This window comes from Homo sapiens, chromosome 14 (genome assembly GCF_000001405.40).
Source record: "Homo sapiens chromosome 14, GRCh38.p14 Primary Assembly".
Lineage (NCBI taxonomy): Eukaryota > Metazoa > Chordata > Mammalia > Primates > Hominidae > Homo > Homo sapiens.
In genome coordinates, this window is record NC_000014.9 from 105,719,953 (window position 1) to 105,747,203 (window position 27,251).

Sequence of the window (27,251 nt, forward strand, 5' to 3'; positions counted from 1 at the left end):
TCTGGCCCCATTTTCCCTCTGTTCCTTACGGCTTCTCTCCTGACCTCTGGTTACCTCCACTCCGCCTCTCTAGACCCCACGCCCTCCCCAGAGAAGGACCCAACCCCTCGGCACAGGAGTGGCCGCCTCACTCAGGGCCCTCGGAAGGATGCGTGAGCTCTGCGGCCTGGCTCCCAAGACCTGGGACTCACTGCATGGGTGCTCTGAGGGGCTGTCCTGGTGTGGACTATGAGCCCAGGCCTGTGGGTGTCCAGAGCTGCCTCCTGGCCCTACCCCGGCCCGGCCCCGCCCACCAGCCTGGTCCCTCTGGCTCCTGCCCTGAGTCCCCTCCACTCCCTTCCCCAACACCGTGAGCTGCCTGCTGGTCCCGGGTCATCAGCAGGTGCAGGTCCGGCCTCGGGCCCTCACACCTCTTTCTGCTGCTCCAGGCCCAGAGCTGGGTGCAGGTGGGCTGGGACGTGAGAGTGAAGCTGAATGTATGGCTGTGACGGTGTGCAGGGACTGTCTTCAGACATGGAGGGGCTTTGTGCTCATGGGGTGCCCGGTGCCCGTGTTTCCGTGTGGATTTGGTGGGTGCTGTGCCCTTGGTGTGCATGACCGGGGGGAGCGTTTGGATCTGGGGTGTCAGATGCACATGTGGGTTTGAGGTCTGTGAGGGGCACGTAGCCTGCTCTGGGGTTCCGGTGTGGGTGAGTGGGGGATGGAGCCCACGCATCCATCCTGTGTTTGGCTGTGGGGTGCTGCTGACAGGGTGACAGGGAGGGTTGGACTGGAGGACACCACGTGAGGGCCTCTCCATTTCTCTCTGGGATCCAGCGGCCCAGGTATGGCTCAGAGGAAGGGCTTGGCAGTAGCCTCGCTGGAGGCAGGGTGGGAGGCGGAGTGTGGGCCACGTGTGACCACGTGTGGGGTGTCTATGGCGCCCTGGTGGTGGTACAGGGTGCTGTGGAGTTGCTATGGGGCCTAGTGTGTGCACAGCTGTGCCTTGAGTGAGGCGTGAGTGGGCGAGACTGGGTGTGTGAGGCTGGCGATCCCCTGGAGGCCGATTCAGGATGGACCAAGGGGCGGTGGGGGGCAGTAGGAGAGGGGGCCTGGCTGCTGACCTGGGCCTGGTGTGCCCACAGGGCGGGGTGGCGGAGGCTGCGGGGTGTGAGTGGGCTCGGCTCCACTGGCCCCGGTGCTGGGGCCAGGACTCGGCAAGGTGGGACAGGGCAGAGAGGCGAACGCCAGTGGCACAGACTTGGGCGAGGGCTGTCGGGTCGTGTGTGTCTGTGTGGGGGTTTCACTTAGGGCTGTTTTTCTACCTGGAGGGGCCTGTGTGCCCATCTATACCTGGGGGTGCAGGGGCTCCTGTCCAGGGGGGTAGAAGCCAAGCCCCCAAGAGAGAGGGCTGTCGGGGCTCCCTTGCCCCTTCCCTGAGGACCTCCCCTGGGTCTTTGGACTCCTTGGAGGGGGTAGACCGAGAGTGGGGGCAGAGAGGGCCCGGGGTAGCTGTGATGAGTCCCTGCAGATACGCTGTTTGACAAATAACCCTGACACGAAGGCAGATGGATGAGTGGCACCTCAGCCCTGCCCACCTCCTCCCACCACCTCTCCTGGGGGGACTCAGCCCTGCCCACCTCCTCCCACTGCCCCTCCTGGGGGGCCCATTCCTCTGTGCCAAGATGCACCTGCCCACAGCCCTGCCCGCTCCCAAGAACGGGTGTACCCTGGGCTCTGAGCAGGCACTGTTTATTGGGGGTAGCTTCCTGGGGTCGTTGCAACAGTGGACAGAAGGTCTGGCCAGCCCTCCCCACTGCACAGCTGGACGGAGCCCTGGGAGGGAGGGAGGCAGGAGTACGTCATTTACCGGGATTTACAGACACCGCTCGCTGGACGGTCTGTGAGGGGCTCGCTGCCTCATGGACTGCACGGCAGATGAACTCATCTTTCTGCTCCCACTCGGCCCTGGTCACCTCCAGGCGGCTGAAGATGAAGAAGCCGGAGCCCTTGGTCTTGCGGGGCTGCGTCGTGCTGTGCCGGGCGTCCGGGAGCTGCACCTCGTTGTGCAGCCACTGCACCGAGATGTCCTCAGGCATGAAGTTCTGGATCAGGCAGGTGAGGGTGCGCTTGTCCCGGCTCCCCAGCCACTCCGGCGTCGCAAACGCATAGACTTCCGGGGCAGCACGCGGGCCTGTGGCCAGACGTGGGGTCAGCCCAGGCCCCGCTCACTCGCTCCCTCCCTCCCCCCACGACCCCGGCCTGCCCGTGGCTCACCGCTGGTCTTGGTCGTGGACCGCACGAGGGCCCTGGGCAGGTGGGGGTGGGTCACCCTGCACTGGTAGGTCTCCCCTTCGATCCAGTCTCGGGTGCCCACCGGCAGGGTGGACGTGACGGTTAACGTGCCATTGCGCTGCTTCTCCTCCTTTCTGGTGGAGTGGTTCACAGGCTTCCCACTGGCCCGGGACCAGGTCAGGTTCACGGTCCACTTGCTGGGTGCCAGGTCCACCACCAGACAGGTGATCGTGGGCGACTTGCGGATGAACAGGTCGAACGGGCTGGGCCGGCTTAGGTAGGCGCTCACCCCTCTCGGGTTGAACCCAGTGTAGTGTCAGCTGAACCCAGTGTAGTCTAGCCGAGCCCAGCTCAGCTGAACCCAGTTGAGACCAACCCAGCTGAGTCCACTCAGGCGAGCCTAGTTTAGCCCAGTTCACGTGGGCACAGTTCAGCCCAGCCCAGCTCATCCCAGCTAAATTCAGATCACCCCAGCCCAATTTAGTTCAATAATTTAAGGCCTGCTCACTCCAGCTTTTAACCCTGTCCGTCGTCAGGTCTCTCCCCCAGCCTAGCCCTCCTCAGCTCAATCCCATTTAGCTCAGCCCAGCTTACTCAGCCCAACCAGCTAAGCTTGGCTCAGGTCTGTCCAGCTCAGCGCAGCCCTGCTGAACTCAGGCCAGGTCAGGTAAGCTCAGCAGGTAATACCCCAGCTTGGTCTCCTTCAGCCCGGATAGTCCACGAGCACCCATTTTATCCTAAGTAGAGAACTGTAGCTTGTCCCTACTCCTGTGTCGGCCCAGCTTATTTCAACCAAGTCCAGTCAAGTCCAGGTCAGCCTAATTCAGCTTAACTCAATCCTGGACCACCCAGGGCAGGCCACCTCAGCTCAGCCTGACTTTGCCCTGCTCCCCAGATAAGTCCAGCTCAGCCCAGCTCAGTCCACCTTAGGGCTTAGGATAACCCAGCTCAAGCCTAGCTCAGCTGAGCCTAGCTCATTTCCCTCTACCCAGTCCACTCACTCAACTCAGCTAAACCCGCCTGGCCCGGGCCAGCCCCGATCGCCCTGGCTCAGGACAGCCCAGCTTGGCCACCTGTCCTCTAAGGGACAGGGTAGCCCTCTCAGCCCACCCAGCTCGCCTCAGCTCAGTCTGTTAGGCCCGTCTCAGTCTAGTCCACTCAGCCAAGCCCCCCTCAGTCCACCCAGCTCGGACTTGCCAAGATCAGCCAGTTGCGCAGTGGAGCTCAGGACAGCTCCCTGCTGCCGCCTCCCCACCCTCCCTCCCGGCTCTGGGTTGGCTGTCCCTGTCCTGGGGGTGACAGGCAGTCTGCACCCAGCCTAGCCCTGCCCAGCATGGGGCCTCTGACCTTCTTAGTCTTGGGCCCAGCCAAGATTCCCAGCCCCCTGCCTTCTCCAGGTCGGCGTTAGGCTGTTTCTAGCTTTCCTGTGTCCCCATGCAGGGAAGGGACGTCTGGAGTCCATGCAGTAACTAAGAAGCTTGGTTGATGCTGTGAGGGTGGCCCAGGAGTCCCCTCGCTGTCAGGGACCCAGGCAGCCTCTCCCTCACTGCTGCCTGGGCCGGCCCCTTGATTGGGGCTCCCGGTGGGCTGGGATACCTGAAGCGCCGGGTCGTCCATTTGGTGCCTGTGGCTGGTGTGGCCCGTCCGGCTCCCTGTCGGGTTCCTGGACAGCTCCCAGATGATCAGTAACCGTGGTTGTTATTTCTGTGTCGGGCAGTGGAGCCTGGGTGGGGGGAGCTCTGCCTCAGTGCTTTCAGCTAAAAATGGAGTGGGAACCCCTGGAGGCCCGGGCCACCCTGGAAGTTCCCTTTTCTCTCTGTTCTTGGGAATTCGATTGAGCAACAGCGGGGGCTCAGGTGAGGCTCCTTCACTACCGATGCACACCGAGTGCTGGGGGAGGTTCTCTTCTCTCTCAGGCCCCAGTGTTGGAGGTGGGCCTGGTGGGAGGTGATTAGATCATGGGGCTGGACCCCTCATGAATGGCCTAGCACCATCTCCCAGGTGATGAGTGAGTTCTCCCTCAGTTAGTCCCTGTGACAGCTCGTTGTTTACAATTCTGGGACGTGCCACTTCTTTTCTCTTGCTCCCTCTTGCCATGTGACATGCCTGCTCCCCCTTCGCCTTCTGCCATGATTGCAATCTCCCTGAGGCCTCACCAGAAGCAGATGCCAGGGCCGTGTTTCCCTTCTGCTCTTCTGCTCTCCCCCGCCCTTCCCTTCTTCTTGTCTTTTCAAGACAAGTTCTCACTATGTTGCCCAGGCTGGTCTCAAACTTCTGAGCTCAAGTGATCCTCCTGCTTCTGCCTCCCAAAATGCTAGGATGACAGGTATGAGCCACAGTGCCTGGCCTAAACACCTTTTCTTTATAAATTACTAGCCTCATGTATTTTTTTTTCTAGTAACACAAACTAACACAGAACATTGGTATTGAGGAGTGGAACATTGCTATAAAGATACCTGAAAATGTGGAAGCAGCTTTGGAATTAGGTAACAGGCAGAGAGGTTAGAAGAATTTGGAGGACTCAGAAGAAGACAGGAAGATGAGGGAAAGTTTGGAATTTCTTAGAGACTATTAAATGGTTGTCACCAAAATGCTGATAGACATATGCACTGTGAAAGCCAGGCTGATGAAATCTCAGATGGAAATGAGGAACTTATTGGGAACTGGAGTAAAGGTCACGCTTGTTAAATCCTAAGATACAACTTGGCTGCATTGTGTTCATGCCCTAGGGATCTGTGGAAGTTTGACCTTAAGAGTGATGACTTAGGGCATCTGGGGAAGACATTTCTAAGCAGACGTTTCTAAGGTGTGACCTGGTTGCTTCTAACAGTCTAGGGTAAGATATGGGAGCAAAGAAATGACTTAAAGTTGGAACTTATATTTAAAAGTTGCAAATGAAAAAATAAAATGCTAATCCAAGGGGATTCCAAAGAAACCTGGAAAACCAGTTCAGGCCATGACAGGAAGGGGAGGGTGGTTTGGACTCCCTCACTATACCCTCTCCCTGTTGGAGCTTAGGCTCAGCTGACCAGTGTTAACATTAAAACAGGGAGCTTAAGACTGACAAAGCAGACTCTTTGTAGCAATAAGGTATCAAATCCCAACCTGACTCTGGTATAGCATCACATGACAGGTGGCAGGCATGGAAGGAAATTAAAGTATTTTATCCCAGAATATGTTTCTCTGACACATTTTGGAAGGGCCCTGCAAAGCCGTCTCTTGTGGAGGAAATGTATATTCTGTTGAGAATCTTTTTCCCTTTCCAGGTCTCTTCCTGATTCAGGAGAGATTTATCCAAGAGTCTGGCACCTTTTAGGTTCTGATAAGAGACATTGACCATCTCTTCTCTCTGGAACGTGGAGGCTTCGTCTACATAACAAGAACCTTGGCTTCCACAACCCCCTTATCTTAAGCATTGCTTTTCGCTGACTTCAACTTTTTAGATAATTTAACTTTTTCAGCCAATCGCCAATCAGAAAATCTTCAAATCCACCTATGATTTGGAATTCCCCACTTTGAATTGTCCTGCTTTTCCAAACCAAACCAAACCAATGTATACTTTACATGTATTGATTGATGTCTCATGTCTCCCTAAAACATAAAACCAGGCCGCAACCCAAGCACCTTGCACACATGTTCTCAGGACCTTTTGAGGCTGTGCCACAGTTCATGGCTCTCATATTTGGCTCAGAATCAATTTTTCAAGTGTTTTATGGAGTTTGGCTTTTTTCATCAACAAAGGGAAGCAGAGCATTAAAAATGTGGAAAATTCACAGCCTGGCCATATGGTAGAAAAGAAAAGGTATTTTCAGGAGACAAATATAAGTAGGCTATGGAGCAGCCAGTTGCTAGAGAGATTAGCATAACTAAAAGAGAGCTAAGTGCTCATATCCAGAACAAAGGGAAGAAGGCCTTGAAGGCATTTTGGAAATCTCTGAGGTGGTCTTTCCCATCACAGGCCCAGAGGCCAAGAGGGAAAGGATGGTTTTGTGGGCCATGGCCATGGCCACTGCTGCCTGTGCAGCCTTGGGACACTGCTCTCCACATCCTGGTTCCTCTGGCTCCAGCCTTGGCTCAAAGGGCCCCAAGTATAGCTTAGGCTGCTTCTTTGGAGAGTGCAAGCCACTATAAGCCTTGGTGACTTCCATCTGGTGTTAAGCCTGTAGGCCCCCAGAATACAGGAGTGAAGGAAGCTTGGCATCTTCCCTCTAGATTTCAGAAATGTATGAGAAAGCCTAGGTGCCCAGACAGAAGCCTCCTGCCAGCATGGAGCCCTCACAGAGAACCTCTACTAGAGCAGTGCCAAAGAGAATGTGGGGTTGAACCCCCATATAATGTCCCCACCAGGGCACTGCCTAGTGGAGCTGTGGGAAGGGGGCCACTGTCCTCCAGACCCCAGAATGGTGGATCCACTGGCAGTTTGCACCCTGAATCTGGAAAAGCCACAGGCACTCAACTCTATCATGTGAGAGAAGCCACAGGGGCAACATCCTCCAAAGCCACAAGGGTAGAGTTTTCCAAGGCCTTGGGAGCCCACCCCCTGCACCAATGTGCCCTGGATATGGGACATGAAGTCAAAGGAGATTACCTTGGAGCTTTAAGATTTAATGACTGCCCTGCTGGATTTCTGACATATATGGGGCATGTAGATCCTTTCTTTTTGCCAACTTCTCCCTTGTGGAATGGGAATGTTTACCCAATGTCTGCACTCTCATTGTATTTTGGGAGTCAATAATTTGTCTTTGATTTCATAGGCTGATAGGTGGAAGGGAGTCATCTTCAGATGAGACTTGGGACTTGGGAAATTTGGGTTGATTCTGGAATGAGGTAAGACTTTGGGGGACTGTTGAGAAGGCATGATTGTATTTTGCAACATGAGATTTGGGGGACCAGGGGTGGAAGGATATGGTTTATATATTTCTCCCCTCCAAATCTCATGTTGTAATATGATTCCCAGTGTTGGAAGTGGGGCCTGGTAGGAGGTGATTAGATCAAGGGGGAAGATCCCTCATGAATGATTTAGAATCATCCCCTTGGTGATGAGTGAATTCTCCCCCAGTCAGCTCACACACAGTCTAGTTGTTTAAGTCTGGGGCCCCCCCTCAGCCTCTTGCTCCCATTCTTGCCATGTGGCATACCTGCTCTCCCTTCACCTTCTGCTATGACTGTAAGTTTCCTGAGGTCCTCGCCAGAAGCAGATGCTGGTGCCATACTTCCTATACAGCCTGCAGAACTGTGAGCCAATTGAACCTCTTTCCTTCATAAGTTACTCAGCCTCAGGTATTTCTTTACAGTAATGCAAATGGACAAACACAGGTGGCTCCTGACACACCCCTCATCTTCTCCTTTGTCATCATATGGCTTACCTCCATGTGTGTCTGTGTCCTCTCCTCTTATGAGGACACCAGTGTTTGGACTTGGGATCCATCCAAAATTTAGTATGATATCATCTCAAGTCCTTAACCTAATTTGTAAAGACCCCATTTCCAAATAAGGTCACATTCTGAGGTTCCAGGTGGGCATACATTTGGCCAGGGAGATGCCATCAGCCCACCACACCAGCCTACGCAGGTACATTTGCATATAGCTTAGGGTTGACGTTTCTCATGGAAGTATTACATCCCCCTCTGGACTCCAGTTTTGCATGTTTTAGAATGCTTCGCCTTCTCCAGCAGGATGAATCTCTTTTCATTTTTTAGTATTTTTCTCTTTCTTCTTTGGATTGGATTAAAAAGAATTGATATACTCTATTGATGCATCTTTAAGTTTTCTGTTCCTTCTTATGTCTTGTCCAATCTGTTATTAAACTTGGGTAATGTTTTTCTCTTTCTTTTCTTTTTTAATAAAATAGAGATGGGGTTTCACCATGTTGCCCAGGCTGGTCTCCAACTCCTGAGGTCAAGTGATCCTTCCTTGTTGGCCTTCCAAAGTGCTAGGATTACAGGTATGAGCCACTGGGCCTGGTCAAATGATGTTTTTCATTTCCGAATCATACTTTTAGTTCTAGAATTTTCATTCGCTTCTTGTAACTATTTTCAGTTTTTTATAGAGATACCTCATCTAGTCACTCATGATAACCATATTTTCCTTTAAGTCTTTGAACATATTTAACATAACTTCTTTAAAGTCCTTGTCTGATAACTGTATCTGCATCTAGGTCATCTTGGAGTTGATCTCCATTGATCCCTTTTTCTTTTGACTTTGGATCACATTTTCATGTTTCTTTGCATACATAGTAATTTTGGATGTGTGCCTGATGTTGTTGATAACATGTGGTACAGGCTATGGGGTTTGCATTCTTTCTTAGCAGAGCATTAATTGTTTTTTTCAATGTTAGCAAGCAGTTAGCTTGAGTTGACTCAAACTCCCAAGTCTGCCTGCCTGGCAGTTGGCAGTAGCTGGAATCTCAGTTCTCTTGACCTTACAGGTGTTGCTTTCTGCTGGACCCTTTGGAGTTTTCCCTACCCATGCACACCTAAGGAATCGGCCAGAGGTTTCACTGGAGTTTACTTGCAGATTGTGGGGTTTCCCTTCGGTGACCTTCTCCTTTACGGATATCTTCTCTTCATTTCCAGCTGCTCTGAAAATGCAGCCCTGCATCCCACTCCTCACCAGGAGGGCTGCAGTTTCCTGCTTAAACTCTAGCTGCACCCATTACCTGCACTGGGGTGTGACTTCAGACGAATATTTCACGGAATAATCCTTACTAGTGTTTGCCTACTTCTGGTCATGTCCCAGTGCCTGCAATTGGTGTGTGTGGGTGTTGTGTGTGCTTACAGCATTTCCAGTGTTTATAATTGCCTTCTGCCAAAGGGCTGGTCTGATATTAGCTGCTCCAGCATTATTGGAATCAGAACTACTTTCTCTCACGTGGTTTTTCATTTTCATTTCCCTGTTGACTAGTGTGGTTCAACATGTTTTCATATGTTTAGTGGCTATTTGGATATCTTCTGTAAAACATCTGTTCAATTCTCTTGCCTATTCCTCATTAGATTATTTGATTTTTTTTTCTCATTGGTTTACAGGGGTCTTCTTTATATTATGGATCTGTTTGTGTCAGTCAGTTATATATGTTTATAGGAAACATTGAGAAAAACTGAAATGGACCAAATGATTACTTGGTGCCTTCCATGGAAAGCAAGGCATCGTCTTGTAGACTCTTCCAAGTTATTTTATTCTATGGAGCTCTGCATCTTTTATTTCCTTTGAACTATTTTACACCTCTATAAGCCAGGGGTCCCCAACCCCTGGGTCATGCACTGGAACCAGTTCATGGCCTGTTAGGAACTGGGACACAGAGCAGGAGGTGAGGGGTGTGTGAGCATTCCTGCCGGAGCTCCACCTCCCGTCAGGTCAGTGGCAGCATTAGATTCTCATAGGAGCGAACCCTATTGCGAGCTGCACATTCCCGGGATCTAAGTTGCATGCTCCTTATGACACCCTAATGCCTAATGATCTGAGGTGGAACAGCTTTGTCCCCAAACCATCCCCCGATCCTGGTCTGTGGAAACATTGTCTTCCATGGAACTGGTTCCTGGTGCCAAAAATGTTGGGGACCACGGCTCTAAGTTGTACATAATTGATAGCAATGCAAAAACTCTTTGAGTTGGTAGAAATCCAAGTTCTCATCTTTGAAAGGACAATGAATTGCTCCTCCTCTGCCAGGGAAAAGGCCAGTTTTGCATCTATCTATGAACTCCTTTTAGTATTCCTGAATCAATTATGTAAGTGTAGTACTTAGAATTCCACTTTGAACTGGTTGCAACACCTTAATTAATGAGATAAAGAGCATCTCTGAAATGTGTCGTCATATGTTTATGTGAGTCCTGATCATAATACTTTTAAAAAATGATCTCTTAACTCGTGATTTCTTCTCCCTCATGGCCCCACCCAGCCGCAGTATCCAGGGAGCTTAGTTTTCTGTGGCCCGGGAGGGCAGGAGAACCGGTGTTGATGGGGAGATCTGAGGTTGGCCCCAACTTTTCCCCACAGCTCTGCTTCAAGGAGTGCCGTGGGAAGGCCTCCCAACCCCACACCTGTCCTGTTGGCCAAGGCGAGCTCCATGCCATGTGGCATCTCTGCCGCTGGCCACCTGGTGAGTATCTGTTGAATAGAGAAATGTGCAGCATCTCCACAGAGCCTCCAGGGCTTCTGTGCTCTCCAAACATCTCTGGGCTCCTGGCACCCTCTCAGGGTATGATGTGTTGGTGTCTGGGTTGGGCCCCTGTCCCTGAGGGTAGGACTCAGGCAAGGACAAAGCTCTGGACTCAAAGAGGTGGTGTGGGGGTGAGTGAAAAGAACAGGAGCTTTGAGGTCAGAAATGCGGGTTTCAGCCTGCATTGTCCCCATGAGCAGGGGCTGCAGACTCGCCAAGACCTCAGTTTCTACCATGGTGAGAGAGTGTCAGAGACTGCAGCACGTATTTCAAGTGTCCAGGGACAGCAGGGGTCTGGGTTGGACCAGCTCTCCTGAATACTGAGGGTGCGATCTTGACCATTGTGAAAGGAAAATAAAATCTCAGGACTCCAAACTCACTATGCCAAAATGAACCGTTGAGGTGGGAAGCTGAGTCATGAAAAAAAAAAAAAGTCATGCGTTTCCTTTTGTTTCCAAACTGATAGCAGCAGCAGATAGGCCAGGTCTACCCAGGTGGCCTCCCTCACCCTGAGAATATAAATTAACAGCTGGTCTTCATGACATGGGACAAAATGAGACAAGAAATCGTCCCTCCTACCCCTGAGACGAATGCATATTTGACTTCTTCCTCTACTCTGTTTATTTGCTTATAAAGTGTAGATTTAGTGAGCACAAGGCGAATGCGTAATTGCTCCCTCCACCCCTCCTTTTCATGCAACGTGGGGGGCTCAGTGAGATGTAATCAAAGCCTCAGAAGAATGTGACCCTCCCCTCTTGCTTTTTTCTCTTTCATCTTTACCCTCCTCCAGCTTTTCCCCCTTTCAATATTGAAGCAGGACGTAGTGTGACTGCATCTGAGGTCAGGTGTGGGGTGGTCCATGTGGACAGTGAGGAAGGTGGTCCCTGCCCGTGGTGGTCCGGGTTTCCTGGGAGATGGCCAGACGTGGGTGCTGAGGGGAAGAGGCCGGTGCAGTCACTGGATGGTAGAGAGCATGTCCATTGTGCTGAGTGGGCTGGGAGGGATCCACAGAGAAGACAGTGTGGCTCAATAGCTAGCACCGGGGACGGGAACGTGGGTGAAGAGCCTGGCACATGGAGTAGCTCAAGGTGTGAGGTTGTGACCCGCCCAGGGAGCCTGTGCCTGAGTGTGCTGGGTGGGTGCTGGGGTTGCAAACATTCGTGTGCCTGTGAGGCCCGTGTGTGTATGTGTGTGTCACGTGTCCCCATGCATGGCAGGCATCGTCGCGTGTCCCCCACGCGTGGCAGGCATTGTTGTGTGGCCACTATGCATGGCAGGCATTGTCGTGTGTCCCCCGTGCGTGGCAGCATTGTCGCGTGGCCCCCGTTCGTGGCAGGCATGTGCAGCCTGAGTACCATGCCGGATGGGGTGTTCTGTCTTCTCCAGGCCCGGCCCTGCCGTGTGAGCAGGGAGCTTCCCCATGGGACTGATGTTCTGTCTCCTCCAGGCCTGGCCCTGTCCTGCCATGTTAGCAGCGAGCTTGGCCATGGGAGTGGTGGGCACAGGCGTGGCTGTGCCGGGCCTCACTGGCTGGACTCGGTGGGGACACCATACCCCTTGCTGAGTGTGGGTAGCAGAGGGGTCGAGGTGCCTTCTGGGAGGTGGTCGGGCAGAGGCAGGGTTGGGAGTGTGTGGGGAGATGGGTGTTCAGCTAGGCTCCTTCCCTGTGGAGGGGCTCAGCTGAAACCTGGGCTCTCACTCCCCTCACCCCTGCCTCCCCAGCATCCTCCCTCTGCCCGTCTCTTCAGCCTGCCTCGGACGCCGAGGTCACAGCCTCGCTCTGTCTCCTCACAAGGCCACGTGGTGGCAGGTCCTTCCTCCTGTCTAACCAGAGTCCTGCTTGCTGCTCTGCAAGCCCACTTGGGTCACGTGGGGCAGGGGCACCTGGAAGGGTGGGCTTCGTGGACTCAAGGGCCACCAATTCCTCCAGGTCAACATGCTCAGATGGTTCCATTCTCCCCCTTCCCTTGGCCACAGAGACCTCTGTATCCTGGGGTGACCACAAATGTCACAACACAAGAATCACACCAGGAACGTCACACCATGTCACACTGGGGAAAAGAAAGATCAGACTGTTACTGTGCCTATGTAGAAAAGGAACACATAAGAAACTCCATTTTGATCTGTACAAAGAAAAATTGTTCTGCTTTGAGACGCTGTTAACCTGTAACTTTAGCCCCAACACTGTGCTCACAGAAACCTGTGCTGCATGGAATCAAGGTTTAAGGGGTTTAGGGCTGCGCAGGACGTGCCTGGTTCACGATACGTTTGCAGGCAGTGTGCTTGGTAGAAGTCATCGCCATTCTCCATTCTCTGTTAACTAGGCACAGAATACGCTGCGGAAAGCTGAAGGGACCTCTGCCGGAGAAAGCCTAGGTATTGTCCCAGTTTCTCCTCACTGAGACAGCCTGAGATATGGCCTCATGGCAAGGGAAAGACCTGACTGTCCCCCAGCCTGACACCTGTAAAGGGTCTGTGCTGAGGAGGATTGGTAAAAGAGGAAGGCCTCTTTACGGTTGAGATAAGAAGAAGGCCTCTGTTTCCTGCACGTCCCTGGGAATGGAATGTCTGGGCTTTACACCCACCATTCATTCTATTCTGAGGTAGGAGAAAACCGCCCTAAGGCTGGAGACAAGATATGCTAGCGGTGATACGGCTCTGTTACTCTTCACTACACTGAGATGTTTGGGTAAAGAGAAACATAAATCTAGTCTATGTGTACATCCCAGCACGGTACCTTCCCTGGGAGTTATTTATGATGCAGATTCCTTTACTCACATGTTTTCCTGCTGACCTTCTCCCCATCATCACCCTGTTCACGCTGTTCTCCTGCCGCACTCCCCGTATGGAGATAGTGAAAATAGTCATCAATAAATACTGAGGGAACCCAGAGACCGGTGCCGGTGCAGGTCCTCGCGTGCTGAGTGTGCCGGTCCCCTGGGCTCACTGTTCTTTCTCTGCACTTTGTCTCTGTGTCTTATTTCTTTTCTCAGTCTCGTGTTTCCACCTGATGAGAAATACCCACAGCTGTGGAGGGCGAGGCCCTCTTCATCACACCACATCACACTATGTCACACTAGGGATGTCACACATCACACCATTAACTCATCACACTGGGGATGTCGTACCGGGTCACACCCCATCATGCCACATCACACCGTGTCACACCGCATCACATCACAGCAAGGATGTGGCACCCTGACACAGCACGTCACAGGTCACATCATGTCACACCACACCTCATCACACCCCACACCACCACACCCGTCAAACGACATCATACCCCATTACCCCAAGGATGTTACGCCACATCACATCATGTCACACCATACCACATAATCTCATACCGCATCATACCAGGGATGTCATACCCATCACACTCTGTCACACCACATCACATCATGTCCAACACCACCTCACACCAGGGACATTATACCATGTCACAACACCTCACACCATGTCATACCACCTCACACCAGGGACATTACACCATGTCACAACACCTCACACCATGTCACACCACATCTCACCAGGGATGTCACACTCGGTCACACCACATCACACTATGTCCAACCATGTAGTCCAACACCACATCACACAAAGGACATCACGCCACATCACACCACATCACACCAGGGATGTCACCCTGTCATAGGACATCACACCACATCACATGATGTCATGCTACATCACAGCATGGGCTGCTGGGGGCGTGCAGGGGCAGCCTTGCTGGAGAGTTGAGGGAGGGTCCTGGGGCTGGGCATGGTGTTCCCGCAGGAGGGCTGACCCTCTGGAGGATGCTCGGTCCCAGGTAGAAAGTGGGAGGTGGGCCCCGGGTGGCTCAGGGAGGGGCCCAATTTCCCCAGGGGAACCTGGTCCAGGCGCCAGGCCCTGCAGGGGCAGGAGCTGCAGGAAGCATCTGCTTCTTCCCAACTCAGCCTGCTCAGTGCACGGAATGACCCGGAGCCCGGCACCGTCCTGGGTCTCCTTTCCTTATCCTGGCCAGGCCGTCCATCCTCAGACAGTGGACTGGAGCCCACCCCACCAGGGCACCCGGAGGCCCGTAGGGCCCCTTGAAGGGCAGAGGGTGGAGAGCTGTCCAGCAGGGTCCCTGAGGGCTGGCACCTTCTCTGGACAAAGCTCTCCTGCATCTCTGGGACGCCATCCTTGGGCTTGGGATAGAGCCGGTGATGCAGCAGCTGCCCGCCCTGCACCCCAGGTGCTGTCTCCCTCACCCCCCGCGGGGCTGCAGCAGCGTGTCCTGAGAGTTAAAGGGCTGGGCTTCAGCACCCAGTTCAGGCCAGGCCCCCTGGAGCCCACCCTCCAGCAGCGAGCCTTCCCACGGCATGGCAGGGTCCGGGCTCTGGGGATTTCATCCCCAACTCTGTGTTTGGTGAAGCTCCAGCTGCTCGATGCCACACAAACGAATCCAACCACTCCTCCTTCCTGGGTGAGATGGTCTCTCTCCTGCCACAGGCAACTCCGACGGCATTTCGCAGCCACCGCAGCCACCGCAGCCACTGCAGTAACAAGACCCTGTCCTTGACTGAGTTCCAGCCAGGCTCCTCGGAGCCTCTCCACTCGGCCTCAACCTTGGCTTGTAAAGACTTGAGCAGACACTAACAGTTTCTAACAGCTTCTGGCCGTACCCCTAGGCCGACCCCTGCCCCGTCAACACCTGCCTGAGAAAGCTCCGTGCACCAGAACTCACCGTTTGGACCAACCCCGACCTCCCTTTCTCAGGGTATCTGCTGAGAGGGCCGCAACCACACGACCTTCTATCCGTTCCTGATGTCTGTGCATTTCCTGTGACCCAGGAGGGTCTTTCTCGGGACCTGAGAGCCACTCCCTGAAGTGTCCCCTTTGTGAAGGATGGGGCCTGTGTCTCCAGGCTCTGGGAGGACAGAATCCTGACCTCAACAGTGGCCGGCACGGACACAGCGGGTCCCATCCCGGGGACGCTGACCAGCGCTGGGAAACTTTTCCCTTCCCCAACGACTGAGCCCCGAGCACCCACCCTGCTCCCCCTACCACCTCCCTTTACAAGGCTGTGGCCTCTGCACAGATGAAGGTGAGTCCAGGTCATGCCGGACTCTTTCTTCCGTTGCAATAGTTATTTCTGTTGAGAATCCGTCCTTGCTACATGACCTAGTGCCCAGGGGGATGCTGAGACAGGATGAATGTGTTTTGCATGTGAGAAGAACATGAATTTTGGGGGCCAGAGTCTGGACTGTGATGGGTTAAATCGTGGCCCCTACAAATTCATATATTCAAGTCTTAATCCCTGGCCTCACAATGTGACTATTTGGAGATGGGGTCTTTACAGAGGTCATTAAGTTCATAGGGGGTCACTAATCTAATCCGATGTGTGTTCTAAGAAGAGAAGCTTAGGACACGGGCACACAGAGGTATGGCCATGTGAGGACCAGGGAGGAGACGGTGTCTACAAGCCAAGGAGAGAGGGCTTGAGAGAAACCAGCCCTGCCTGCATCCTGATCTCAGATTCCTGGTCTCTAGGCCTGGGAGGATCCATGTCTGCCGTGGGAGCTGCCCCGCTGTGGTCCTGAGCTGACGCACACAGATCTGACACCCACCTCTCGCTTCGGACCATGGTTGGTTCTGGAAGGCCCTCCCTGTGGCTCTGCCTGGCCAGCCTGAGCCAGCTCCCAGCCTCGACCCAGCTTTCCCTGGAGGCCCTGTCCCCCGCAGAGTGACCAGGGCAGGCAGCACCGTGCCCAGCAGGAGGAGAAACTGCATCCATGTAGAAAAGAGGAGAAGCCCCGGGGGTCCATGTAGTGACAGGGGCCAGGGAGGGTCGCTCGGGCAATGCGTGTGGCTGCAGGAGGCGGGGGGCGTATGCAGGGAGCCCCCGAGGTGCAGCTGGACCAGCCTCCTCCTGACCGTGTTTTCCACCGGGGGCAGGAGGCGCGTGGACACAGGAAGGCGGCTCCCATCACGAAGTACAAGACTTAAAAAGGATATTTTATTGTCATCACAAAAGAAACATCAAAGACAATTAATGAGCTTTAGAAAATTTAAAAGAAGAAGAAAAGCTACCAAAGCTGAAATGGTGGCACCTCCTTCGAGTGAGCCCAGGAGTCCTCCCTGACGGCCGAGGCAGGCGCTGGCCGCACTCCCGCTCGAGTCTCCCTTCCTGTCTGCAGATTCTGCGTGACAGTCACGGAACGGCGTGATGGGGGCAGCAGAGCGTGGGGGCCTCTGTCCAGCACTCGTGGCCAGCAGCCCTGCTTTCGCAAGAACACGGGCACCCTCTTTGTCGTCTTGCCTCTCCACCTGGTGCCCCCAGAGTGGCTGCTTGTTCCTGCTGCACGTGACCCGGGGCTGGACGCCAGCCTCTGTGATGAGTTCTGGCTGTGTCCACGCTCCTGGCTCTCCCGGTGTCCCTCCACCTCTCTCCCCGATGCTCCTGGGCCTCCTCTGTCCTCAGGCCCCACCAAGGCTGAGTCTTGCCCGCCTGGGACCTGGTCACCAGCCTTCTCTGGGAGGCCTGTCTGGGCAGATGCCCAGCCCTTCCTTGGGCTATCCTCACCCTTGCACTGTGGGGCTCCTGCAGCGGCCACATGGCCCAGGCTCTTCTCTGAGTGATCTCGGTGGACTGGAGTGGGTGGGAGGTGGCAGTGTCCTGGGCCTGGCCCCTTCTCTCCCCAGTGCGGACTCTGGGGCTGGCTGTCCCTGCGGGTCCAGTTCCACCCGAGAATCCAGCAGTGTGGGCAGGCAGCCAAGGGGTGGTGCTGGCACTGAGACTGTTCCCAGGAGCCAGAGAGCAGCGTTCTTTGCTTGAAATCAGAACAACCTCATTCCTCATGTCAGGAGTTCACGGGAGTGCCCGGAATGGAGGCTGGCTGGCTGCGGGCTGGGAGGAAGGCCGTCTGAGTGAGCCTTCGCAGCTCTCGGAAGCCTCCCCAACAGGGCCTGATGGTGCTGTGGCTTCCCTACCTTGGCGGCTGACGCTCCCACTCACCATCTGGAAACCACGCCTGTGTTCAGGAGGCTGGCGTGGACGGGGTTGGCTCCAGGGCGAGGTCCTGCCTGGGTGGGGGCCTGGGATACCGGTCACTGCCTCCTTTTGTGTGAGCACCTTGTGGTCCGGAGGGCAAGGACGTCCTGCTGAGGGGACACCTGGCCCCCAGTGCCCTGCATGCACCAAGCAGCGGAGGTCTGGGGTAGACCTGCTATGCACAGGGTCTGGAAGGGGGGCGTGTCAGGTGTGTCAGGGTCAGAGGGCAACTGCGAGGCCAGAGAGTCATGGGGTTGAGGGCGGTGAGGTCGGGGGCAGGTGTGGCCTGGGTGGTGGCTGAGCATGGCCCATGGCTGGTGTGTGGGGTCTGGGCGGCCCTGGACACCCCGCAGAGGGTGGCCCTAGGCCCCCTGTCCGATCATGTTCCTGTAGTCGGGGATGATGGTCTGCTTCAGGTCCACCACCGAGGAGAAGATCCACTTCACCTGTAGGCAAGGCACAGCACAGGGGTGAGCGAGGCCACAGCCCTGCCCCCGAGCCCCACCCACCCCTCAGGGCACTGAGGCCACCTCTCTGCCCCCAAGGCCCACCCACCCGTCAGTCCACGCAGGCCACAGCCCTGCCCCTGAGGCCCATCCGGCCCCTCATGCCACCCAGGTGCCATGGCCTCACCACTGCCTGCTCTGAGGCTTGGTGATAGAGAGCAGAGCCAGGGCACCAACAGCATGTGGACAGCACAGAAGACAGCGTCAGGGACAGGTGGGGACAGCGTGGGGGACAGTGTCAGACACAGGTGAGGACAGTGTGGGGGACAGTGTCAGGGACAGGTGGAGACAGAGTGTGGAAGAGTGTTGGGGACAGTTAAGGACAGCATGGAGGAGAGTGTTGGGGAGAGATGGGGACAGTGTCAGGGAGAGGTGGGGACTGTGTGGAGGACAGCATCAGGGACAGGTGGGGACAGCATGGGGGACAGTGGTGCATACAGGAGGGGACGGTGTGGGGGACAGTGTCAGGGATTATAGGGGACAGAGTGGGAGACAGTGTCAGGGACCGGTGGAGACCATGTGGGGGACAGGTGGGGACAGCATGGGGGACAGTGTCAGGGATAGGAGGGGACAGGAAACAGTGGGGACATTGTCAGGGACAGGGGAGATAGCATGGGGGACAGTGTTGGGGACATGGGGGACAGCATGGAGGACAGTGTTGGGGACTGGTGGGGACAGCATGGGGGACAGTGTAGGAGACAGGTTGGGACAGGATGGAGGATAGTGTTGGGGACAGGTGGGGACAGTGTGGGGGACAGTGTCAGGGACAGGAGGGGAGAGCGTGGAGAACAGTGTCCGGGACAGGTGGGGACAGCATGGGGGACAGTATCAGGGACAGGTGGGGAGAGTGTGGGGGACAGTGTTGGACTGGTAGGTACAGCCCGGGGGACAGCATCGGGGACAGGTGGGGACTGCATGGGGGACAATATCAGGGACAGGTGGGGACATGGAGGAGAGTGTTGGGGACAGGTGGGGACAGCATGGGGGACTGTGTTGAGGACAGGTGGGGACAGCTTGGGGGACAGTGGTGCATACGGGAGGGGACGGCGTGGGGGACAGTGTCAGGGATTATAGGGGACAGAGTGGGAGACAGTGTCAGGGACAGGTGGGGACAGCATGGCGGACAGTGTCAGGGATAGGAGGGAACAGGAGGAAACAGTGGGGACATTGTCGGGGACAGGGGGGATAGCGTGGGGGACAGTGTTGGGGACAGGTGGGGACAGTGTGGAGGAAAGTTTTGGGGACTGGTGGGGACAGCATGGGGGACAGTGTAGGGGACAGGTGGGGACAGGAGGGGACAGCATGGAGGATAGTGTTGGGGACAGGTGGGGACAGTGTGGGGGACAGTGTCGGGGACAGGAGGGGACAGCGTGGGGGACAGTGTCAGGGACAGGTGGGGACAGCATGGGGGACAGTGTTGTACTGGTAGGTACAGCCTGGGGGACAGCATTGGGGACAGGTGGAGACTGCATGGGGGACAATATCAGGGACAGGTGGGGACAGCATGGAGGAGAGTGTTGGGGACAGGTGGGGACAGCATGGGGGACAGTGTTGAGGACAGGTGGGGACAACGTGGGGTACAGTGTCGGAGATGGGTGGGGACAGCATGGAGGAAAGTGTCGGGTTTAGGTAAGAACAACGTGGAGGAGAGTGTCGGGGACAGGTGGGGACAGTGTGGGGGATATTGTCACGGACAGGTGGGGACAGCATGTGGGACAGGGTTTCATACAGGAGGGGACAGCATGGGGGACAGTGCCAGGTACTGTAGGGGACAGCGTGGGGGACAGGGCCAGGAACTATAGGGGACAGAGTGGGGGATGGTGTCAGGGACAGGTGGGGAAAGCATGGGGGACAGTGTCAGGGACAGGTGGAAACTGTGGGGGACAGTGTTGGGGACAAAGGGGGACAGGGTGGGGGACAGTGTTGGGGACAGATGGGGACAGCATGGGGGACAGTGTCGGGGACATGTGGGGAGAGCCTGGGGGACACTGTTGGACAGGTGGGGGCAGCATTGGGGACAATGTCAGGGACAGTTTGTGAGAGCATGGGGGACAGCGTCAGGGACAGGTGGGGACAGCCTGTGGGACAGTGTCAGAGACAGTTTGTGACAGCATGGGGGACAATGTCAAGGACAGCTGGGGACAACGTGCGGCCGACCTTGAAGAAGGTGACGGTGGCACTGTAGCACACGCTTAACAGGAAGAGTGTGATGAAGATGGTGATGGTCGTCCACAGCCCGTCCAGCTCCCCGTCCTGCGCCTCCGCACAGCTCTCCTCCAGTTGCAGCTCTGGACAGGAAGGGGGTGGTCAGTGCTGTGTCCCCCTGGGCTTGGGCCTCTGGGGGTGATTCCCTCTGTGGCAGGACCCAGGATGTAGGGCCCGGCCGGGATGGGCCAACAATGTCCTGAGGTCAGCTCCCCACAGCTGCCCGCCCTGGGCACCAGCTTTGGCCCCGGGGCTCAGCCAGACACCCGGCCCTAGATAGCGACCTGGCCCTCAGCAGGACCCGCTCCCCGTCTCCCGTGTCCCTCCCTGAGGCCCAGAGGGCAGGAGGATGGTGAAGCCCACACCTCATGTGACCCCAGCTGCAGGGAAGGGCGGCACTGGGAAGTGGGCCAGGGCCAGGGACGTGACGTGGTGTGTGATCCCCTGTGTGTGTGTGGCGGCTGCAGGGGCACCTTGTGAGAGGAGGGCTGGGTTTGTCTGAGCAGGTCAGCATGTGGAGAAGCTGCCGAGCGGCTCGTGGGCCTTGAGGTGCCGCGTGGGGCTCGTGGGGGCCTGTGTCCGAGGAGTGTTCACGTGTGCGAGGACCTTGCTCTGGTCTGGGTGCTGTGCGGTTCGCCCGGGTGAGGCTCCGTGTGTGAGGCGTGCACGTGTGTGTGTGGTGGCCGTGTGGCCGGCCAACCTCAGTGCGGGGTTTGTTGAACGGGTCTGGGCTGAGTGTGTGTGTGGGCATCTGGACCAGTCTCTCCACAGGGCCCGAGAGTGCATGTCCCCGGAGTCGGTTGTGTCCCCATGCGGGTGCGAGGCTGGGCAGGGCTGCCAGGGGTTAGTGCCGTGGGGGTAGATGGGTGAGGGAGGGCCTGTCCCTACGCACATGGACTAGGCATGCCCCCGAGTGGGCATGCGGGTCGGAGGACAGGGCGCTCACAGAACAGGACAGTCTCCTACAGAGGCAGGGGCTGTGTGTCTGTCCCCAGGGGCTCCTAGGGCTTCTCGTGGCCCAGCCCAGGGCAGCTGCTGCTGGAGGGAGGGCCACGCTGGCAAATCCCCCACCCTGCCGAGGGCAGCCCCTGGCTGAGCCCCACCCTAGGCGGCCCAGGCACACCTGCACAGCCTGGGCCAGTGTGGGGACAGTGGGACCCACTCTGCCTCCCTCATGCCACTCAGGCCTCAGACTCGGCCTGACCCGTGGAAAGAACCATCACAGTCTCGCAGGGGCCCAGGGAAGCGCTGGGTGCTTTATTTCCATGCTGGGTGCCTGGGAAGTATGTACACGGGGTACGTGCCAAGCATCCTCGCGCGACCCCGAGAGCCTGGGGAGCGGGGGCTTGCCGGCCGTGGCACTCATTTACCCGGAGACAGGGAGAGGCTCTTCTGTGTGTAGTGGTTGTGCAGAGCCTCATGCATCACGGAGCATGAGAAGACGTTCCCCTGCTGCCACCTGCTCTTGTCCACGGTGAGCTTGCTGTAGAGGAAGAAGGAGCCGTCGGAGTCCAGCACGGGAGGCGTGGTCTTGTAGTTGTTCTCCGGCTGCCCATTGCTCTCCCACTCCACGGCGATGTCGCTGGGATAGAAGCCTTTGACCAGGCAGGTCAGGCTGACCTGGTTCTTGGTCAGCTCATCCCGGGATGGGGGCAGGGTGTACACCTGTGGTTCTCGGGGCTGCCCTGTAGGGACAGAGGTTGGTACAGCGGTCACTCTCAGGGCAGAGGGTGGGCCGAGCCGGCCTCTGTCCATGTGGCCCTCGCACCCCACGGGTCCCACCTTTGGCTTTGGAGATGGTTTTCTCGATGGGGGCTGGGAGGGCTTTGTTGGAGACCTTGCACTTGTACTCCTTGCCATTCAGCCAGTCCTGGTGCAGGACGGTGAGGACGCTGACCACACGGTACGTGCTGTTGTACTGCTCCTCCCGCGGCTTTGTCTTGGCATTATGCACCTCCACGCCGTCCACGTACCAGTTGAACTTGACCTCAGGGTCTTCGTGGCTCACGTCCACCACCACGCATGTGACCTCAGGGGTCCGGGAGATCATGAGGGTGTCCTTGGGTTTTGGGGGGAAGAGGAAGACTGACGGTCCCCCCAGGAGTTCAGGTGCTGAGGAAGAGATGGAGGTGGACGTGTCAGCACCCGGCTGGGGCCTGTCCCTGGATGCAGGCTACTCTAGGGCACCTGTCCCGCCTTGAGCTGGAGGGCGAGGCCTGGGCTGGCTTACCTGGGCACGGTGGGCATGTGTGAGTTTTGTCACAAGATTTGGGCTCTGCAGAGAGAAGATTGGGAGTTACTGGAATCTGGGAGGAGAGAAGGTGTCCGAGCTGAGGGAGTGGAGAGTTTGGCCTTTGGGGTGGGCTTAGGTCAGGGGCAGGGTCCTCCCGGATATGGCTCTTGGCAGGTCTGAGCCCAGCACCTGCCCCTTTGTGTGCAGGGCCTGGGTTAGGGGCACCTAGCCTGTGCCTGCCCAGAGCCTGGGGAAAAAGCCAGAAGACCCTCTCCCTGAGCATGAGTGGGGCGGGCAGAGGCCTCCGGGTGAAGAGGCAGACGGGGCCTGCCTTGCTGCCCTGGACTGGGGCTGCATAGCCGGGATGCGTCCAGGCAGGAGCGCTGAGCCTGGCTTCCAGCAGACACCCTCCCTCCCTGTGCTGGCCTCTCACCAACTTTCTTGTCCACCTTGGTGTTGCTGGGCTTGTGATTCACGTTGCAGATGTAGGTCTGGGTGCCCAAGCTGCTGGAGGGCACGGTCACCACGCTGCTGAGGGAGTAGAGTCCTGAGGACTGTAGGACAGCCGGGAAGGTGTGCACGCCGCTGGTCAGGGCGCCTGAGTTCCACGACACCGTCACCGGTTCGGGGAAGTAGTCCTTGACCAGGCAGCCCAGGGCTGCTGTGCCCCCAGAGGTGCTCTTGGAGGAGGGTGCCAGGGGGAAGACCGATGGGCCCTTGGTGGAGGCTGCAAGAGAGGTGGTGCCATGTGACCGCGGTGTGGGACAGAGCTGGGCCCAGGGCGCAGAGGCCCCTGGGTTCTTAACTGTCCGCGAGGTTCAGCGTCCAGTGTCTGGGCTCACGGGCATTGGGTGTGCGCCTGGCTGGCGCCACCTGCGTCACCTTAGCCCACCCCCTGCCCCAAAGCCAAGGTCAGGCCCGGCCTGCCCCAGAAAGCTTGCAGGACCGGTGGCCCTGTGGTGCCCTTCTGCAGGCACCCCTGCAGCCTAGGAGGCGGGGCTCGGCAGCCAGGTCAGCGCTCTGTGTCTGCCGGGAGTCAGCACAGTCCAGGGCCTCTAGCTTGGCCTCAGCTCTGGCCATCGGTGCCACCTCAGGGACGGCTCATGCCCATTGGCCCCACTCCAGCCTTTTATGGGTGCCTGGCTTGACCAGTGGACACTGTTCTCAGATGGCTTCTCGTGGGTCCCCCGAGCCCCCTGAAGCCCCTGACCCTGCCGCCCCAGCGTGGCCCTCCCCTAGTGAGTTGGCCTGACTTGCCCAGGGCCCTGGTCATAGCCTGCCCTCTGCCCTCCAAGGCCCTTTTCTTCTGTGCAGCAGAGGGGCCAGACACTGCATAGGGTCGGCGCCCTTCAGCCCCAGGGCCCCGGAACCCCCTGCCTTGGAATAGCCTCCTGGAGCCTCCTCCTCAGCCTCTCCCCTCCTTTCCCCTTAGCCCCAGTGTGCAGCAGCCCAGGTCAGGGCCCTGAGTGCCTGGATGCCCCCTGCCTCCCAGTGTCCTGCATTACTTCTGGAGGCTCAGTCACCACACCGTCACCCTCCCAGCCCTGGCCTGGCCTTCTCGGCCACCAGCCCACCTCCTCCCTCTCTCCAGAGCTTCCCCCGGCAAGGTCCCTGCTGGGCTCAACCCAGGCCCCCCAGCACAGGTAGGAGCCTTGCACCTGCCCTTGGCCCTCCCCACCCTGCATGGTGCCAGGACCCCCAGGCCACAGGGAGGCCCCATTTCTCTCTGCCGCTGGCCCAGTGGCCCTGGAGTCCCACTGCAGGTGGGGTGTGCCCCTGACCTCTGAGGAGGCTAAGCGCCCTGCCCTCAGCCAGGCCATCCCCTCTGCTCAGCCCCAGGGCCCCGCTCACCACCCCTTCCCCTCACCTGCACCACAGGCTCTGGCTGACTCTGCCCAGGCCCTGAATGGGCCCCTCTGGCTGCCCTCTGCTGCTACACTGCCCTGCACCACCTCCACTCAGCTTCATTGTGCTGGTGGCCCTGGCTCCTGGCAGCCCATCTTGCTCCTTCTGGGGCGCCAGCCTCAGAGGCCTTCCTGCCCAGGGTCCGCTGGGACCAGCCGTGGGACCCTCCTGGTCTCAAGCACACGTTCCCCCTGCAGCCACACCTGCCCCTGCCTGAGAGCTCAGCCCTGAGCCCTGGAACGCCTTCCCTTCTCCATCCCAGCTCGCCCTTGCCAACTGCTCAGTGGGATGGACTCACACTCCCTTCCCGGCACCAGGAGGCTGCACTGCACTTTCACCAGCCCTCAGCTGTCTGTTGCCAGCAACTACCCAGCTCCTGCCAAAGTCTAGGAGCTGAGTGATGCCTCCCACCAGCCCTGCTCACCTGTGGCTGCCTTGCCCTGAGCTCTAGTGCCTGTCCCCTGCTCGTCCTGCCTCCCACCGGCCCTGCTGACCTGCGGCTGCTCTGCCCTGGTCCCCTGAGCTCCAGTGCCTGCCCCCTGCTCCTCCTGCCCCCCACCTGCCCCTGCTCACCTGCGGCTGCTCTGCCCTGGTCCCCTGAGCTCCAGTGCCTGCCCCCTGCTCCTCCTGCCCCCCACCTGCCCCTGCTCACCTGCGGCTGCTCTGCCCTGGTCCCCTGAGCTCCAGTGCCTGCCCCCTGCTCCTCCTGCCCCCCACCTGCCCCTGCTCACCTGCGGCTGCTCTGCCCTGGTCCCCTGAGCTCCAGTGCCTGACCCCTGCTCCTCCTGCCCCCCACCTGCACCTGCTCACCTGCGGCTGCTCTGCCCTGGTCCCCTGAGCTCCAGGAGCTGCCCCCTGCTCCTCCTGCCCCCCACCTGCCCCTGTTCACCTGCGACTGCTCTGCCCTGGTCCCCTGAGCTCCAGGAGCTGCCCCTTGCTACTCCTGCCCCCCACCTGCCCCTGTTCACCTGCGACTGCTCTGCCCTGGTCCCCTGAGCTCCAGTGCCTGCCCCCTGCTCCTCCTGCACCCCACCTGCCCCTGCTCACCTGCGGCTGCTCTGCCCTGGTCCCCTGAGCTCCAGGAGCTGCCCCCTGCTCCTCCTGCCCCCCACCTGCACCTGCTCACCTGCGGCTGCTCTGCCCTGGTCCCCTGAGCTCCAGGAGCTGCCCCTTGCTCCTCCTGCCCCTGTTCACCTGCGACTGCTCTGCCCTGGTCCCCTGAGCTCCAGGAGCTGCTCCTTGCTCCTCCTGCCCCCCACCTGCCCCTGTTCACCTGCGACTGCTCTGCCCTGGTCCCCTGAGCTCCAGGAGCTGCCCCTTGCTCCTCCTGCTTCCCACCAGCCCCTGCTCACCTGCGGATGATCTTCCCTGGCTCTCTGAGCTCCAGGGGCTGCCCACCTGCTCCTCCTGCTTCCCACCGGCCCTGCTCACCTGCAGCTGCTCTGCCCTGGCTCCCTGAGGCTGAGCCTCAGTCCTGCTCACCTTCTGATGCTCTCCCCTTGTCCCCTGAGCTCCAGGGGCTGACCCCTGATCTTTCTGCTTCCTACCTGCCCCTGCTCACCTGTGGCTGCTCTGCCCTGATCCCCTGAGCTCCAGGAGCTGCCTCCTGCTCTTCCTGCCTCCCACCTGCCCCTGCTCACCTGCAGATCTGCCCTGGCTCTCTGAGGTCCAGGGGCTGCCCCCTGCTCGCCCACCTCCCACCAGCCATGCTGACGTTGTGATGCTCTGCCCTGGTCTCCTGAGGTCCAGGGGCTGTCCCCTGCTTATTCTGCCTCCCACCTGCCCCTTCTCACCTGAGGCTCTTCTGCCCTGGTGCTCTGAGCTCCAAAAGCTGCCCACTTGCTCCTCCTGCTTCCTACCAGCCCCTGCTCTCCTGTGGATGATCTGCCCTGGCTCTCTGAGCTCCAGGGGCTGCCCACCTGCTCCCCATGCTTCCCACCTGCCCCTGCTGACCTGCGGCTGCTCTGCCTTGGCTCCCTGAGCTCCAGGAGCTTCCCCCTGCTCATCCTGCCCCCCACTGGCCCCTGTTCACCTTCAGATGCCCTCCCTGGTCCCCTGAAGTCCAGGAGCTGCCCCCTGTTCCTCCCGCCTCCCACCAGCCCGTGCTCACCTGCGGCTGCTCTGCCCTGGTCCCCTGAGTTCCAGGGGCTGCCCCCTGCTCGCCCACCTCCCACTAGCCATGCTCACCTCCTGATGCTCTGTCCTGGTCCCCTGAGCTCCAGGGGCTGCCCCCTGCTTGCCCATCTCCCACTAGCCATGCTCACCTTCTGATGCTCTGCCCTGGTCCCCTGAGCTCCAGGGTCTTCCCCCTGCTCATCCTGCCGCCCACCAGCCCCTGCTCACCTGAGGCTGCTCTGCCCTGGTCCCCTGAGCTCCAGGAGGTGCCCCCTGCTCCTTCTGCCCCCACCTGCCCTGCTCACCTGTGGCTGCTTGGTCCTGGTCCCTGAGCTCCAATGCCTGCTCCCTGCTCACTCTGCCCTCCCTCAACCCGGGCAGCAATGTCACTCAGGTCACTGTTGCCCCCCTGCCTGTCCTGGCACCCTCTGTCCAGGTTTGGGCTGTTTTTCTGCCCTCATTTTTGATTTTGCAGCACTTGGCGTGTTCCCTATGCTGTGGAGCAGCCCCAGTGTCCAGTCAGGTCTCCCCAACAGAGCCCCTTGCCCTTGCCCATGTGCCCCTCCTGAATGAGCTCCCGGATCCTCCTGTCCCTGCACTGCTCCTGCTCTGGAAGCCTCTCTGGAACCTCAGCTCCTCAGTGGCCTCTGCTCTGCTGGGTCAGTTCCCTGAACGCACGGAGCCTCAGCCCTTCCCCTCGCCCCAGGCCTGCTGCACTCTGGGCCTTTCTGGGCCTCCCTGGACTCTTCCCTTCTCCCGCCCGTGCACTCAGCACAGCTCTCCCCTCCTCTCCACTGCTGACCACAGCCCTGCTCCCCGCCAGCAGGTGCCCCAACCCCA

At 58.0% G+C, this 27,251-nt stretch overlaps 1 pseudogene, 1 gene segment (V, D, J or C) and 1 further gene; all 3 read right to left on the reverse strand.

Annotated features, from left to right (window-relative positions):
- The window catches only part of IGH (immunoglobulin heavy locus), a 1,293,408-nt gene that overhangs the window by 133,516 nt on the left and 1,132,641 nt on the right, over positions 1-27,251 (reverse strand).
- On the reverse strand, positions 1,842-2,575 carry IGHEP1 (immunoglobulin heavy constant epsilon P1 (pseudogene); annotated as a pseudogene). Its single transcript is given in 2 exon segments — positions 1,842-2,173; positions 2,257-2,575. Coding segments are annotated over 2 exon segments (651 nt in total).
- On the reverse strand, positions 21,521-23,118 carry IGHG1 (immunoglobulin heavy constant gamma 1 (G1m marker)). The segment is given in 4 exon segments: positions 21,521-21,843; positions 21,941-22,270; positions 22,389-22,433; positions 22,825-23,118. Coding segments are annotated over 4 exon segments (992 nt in total).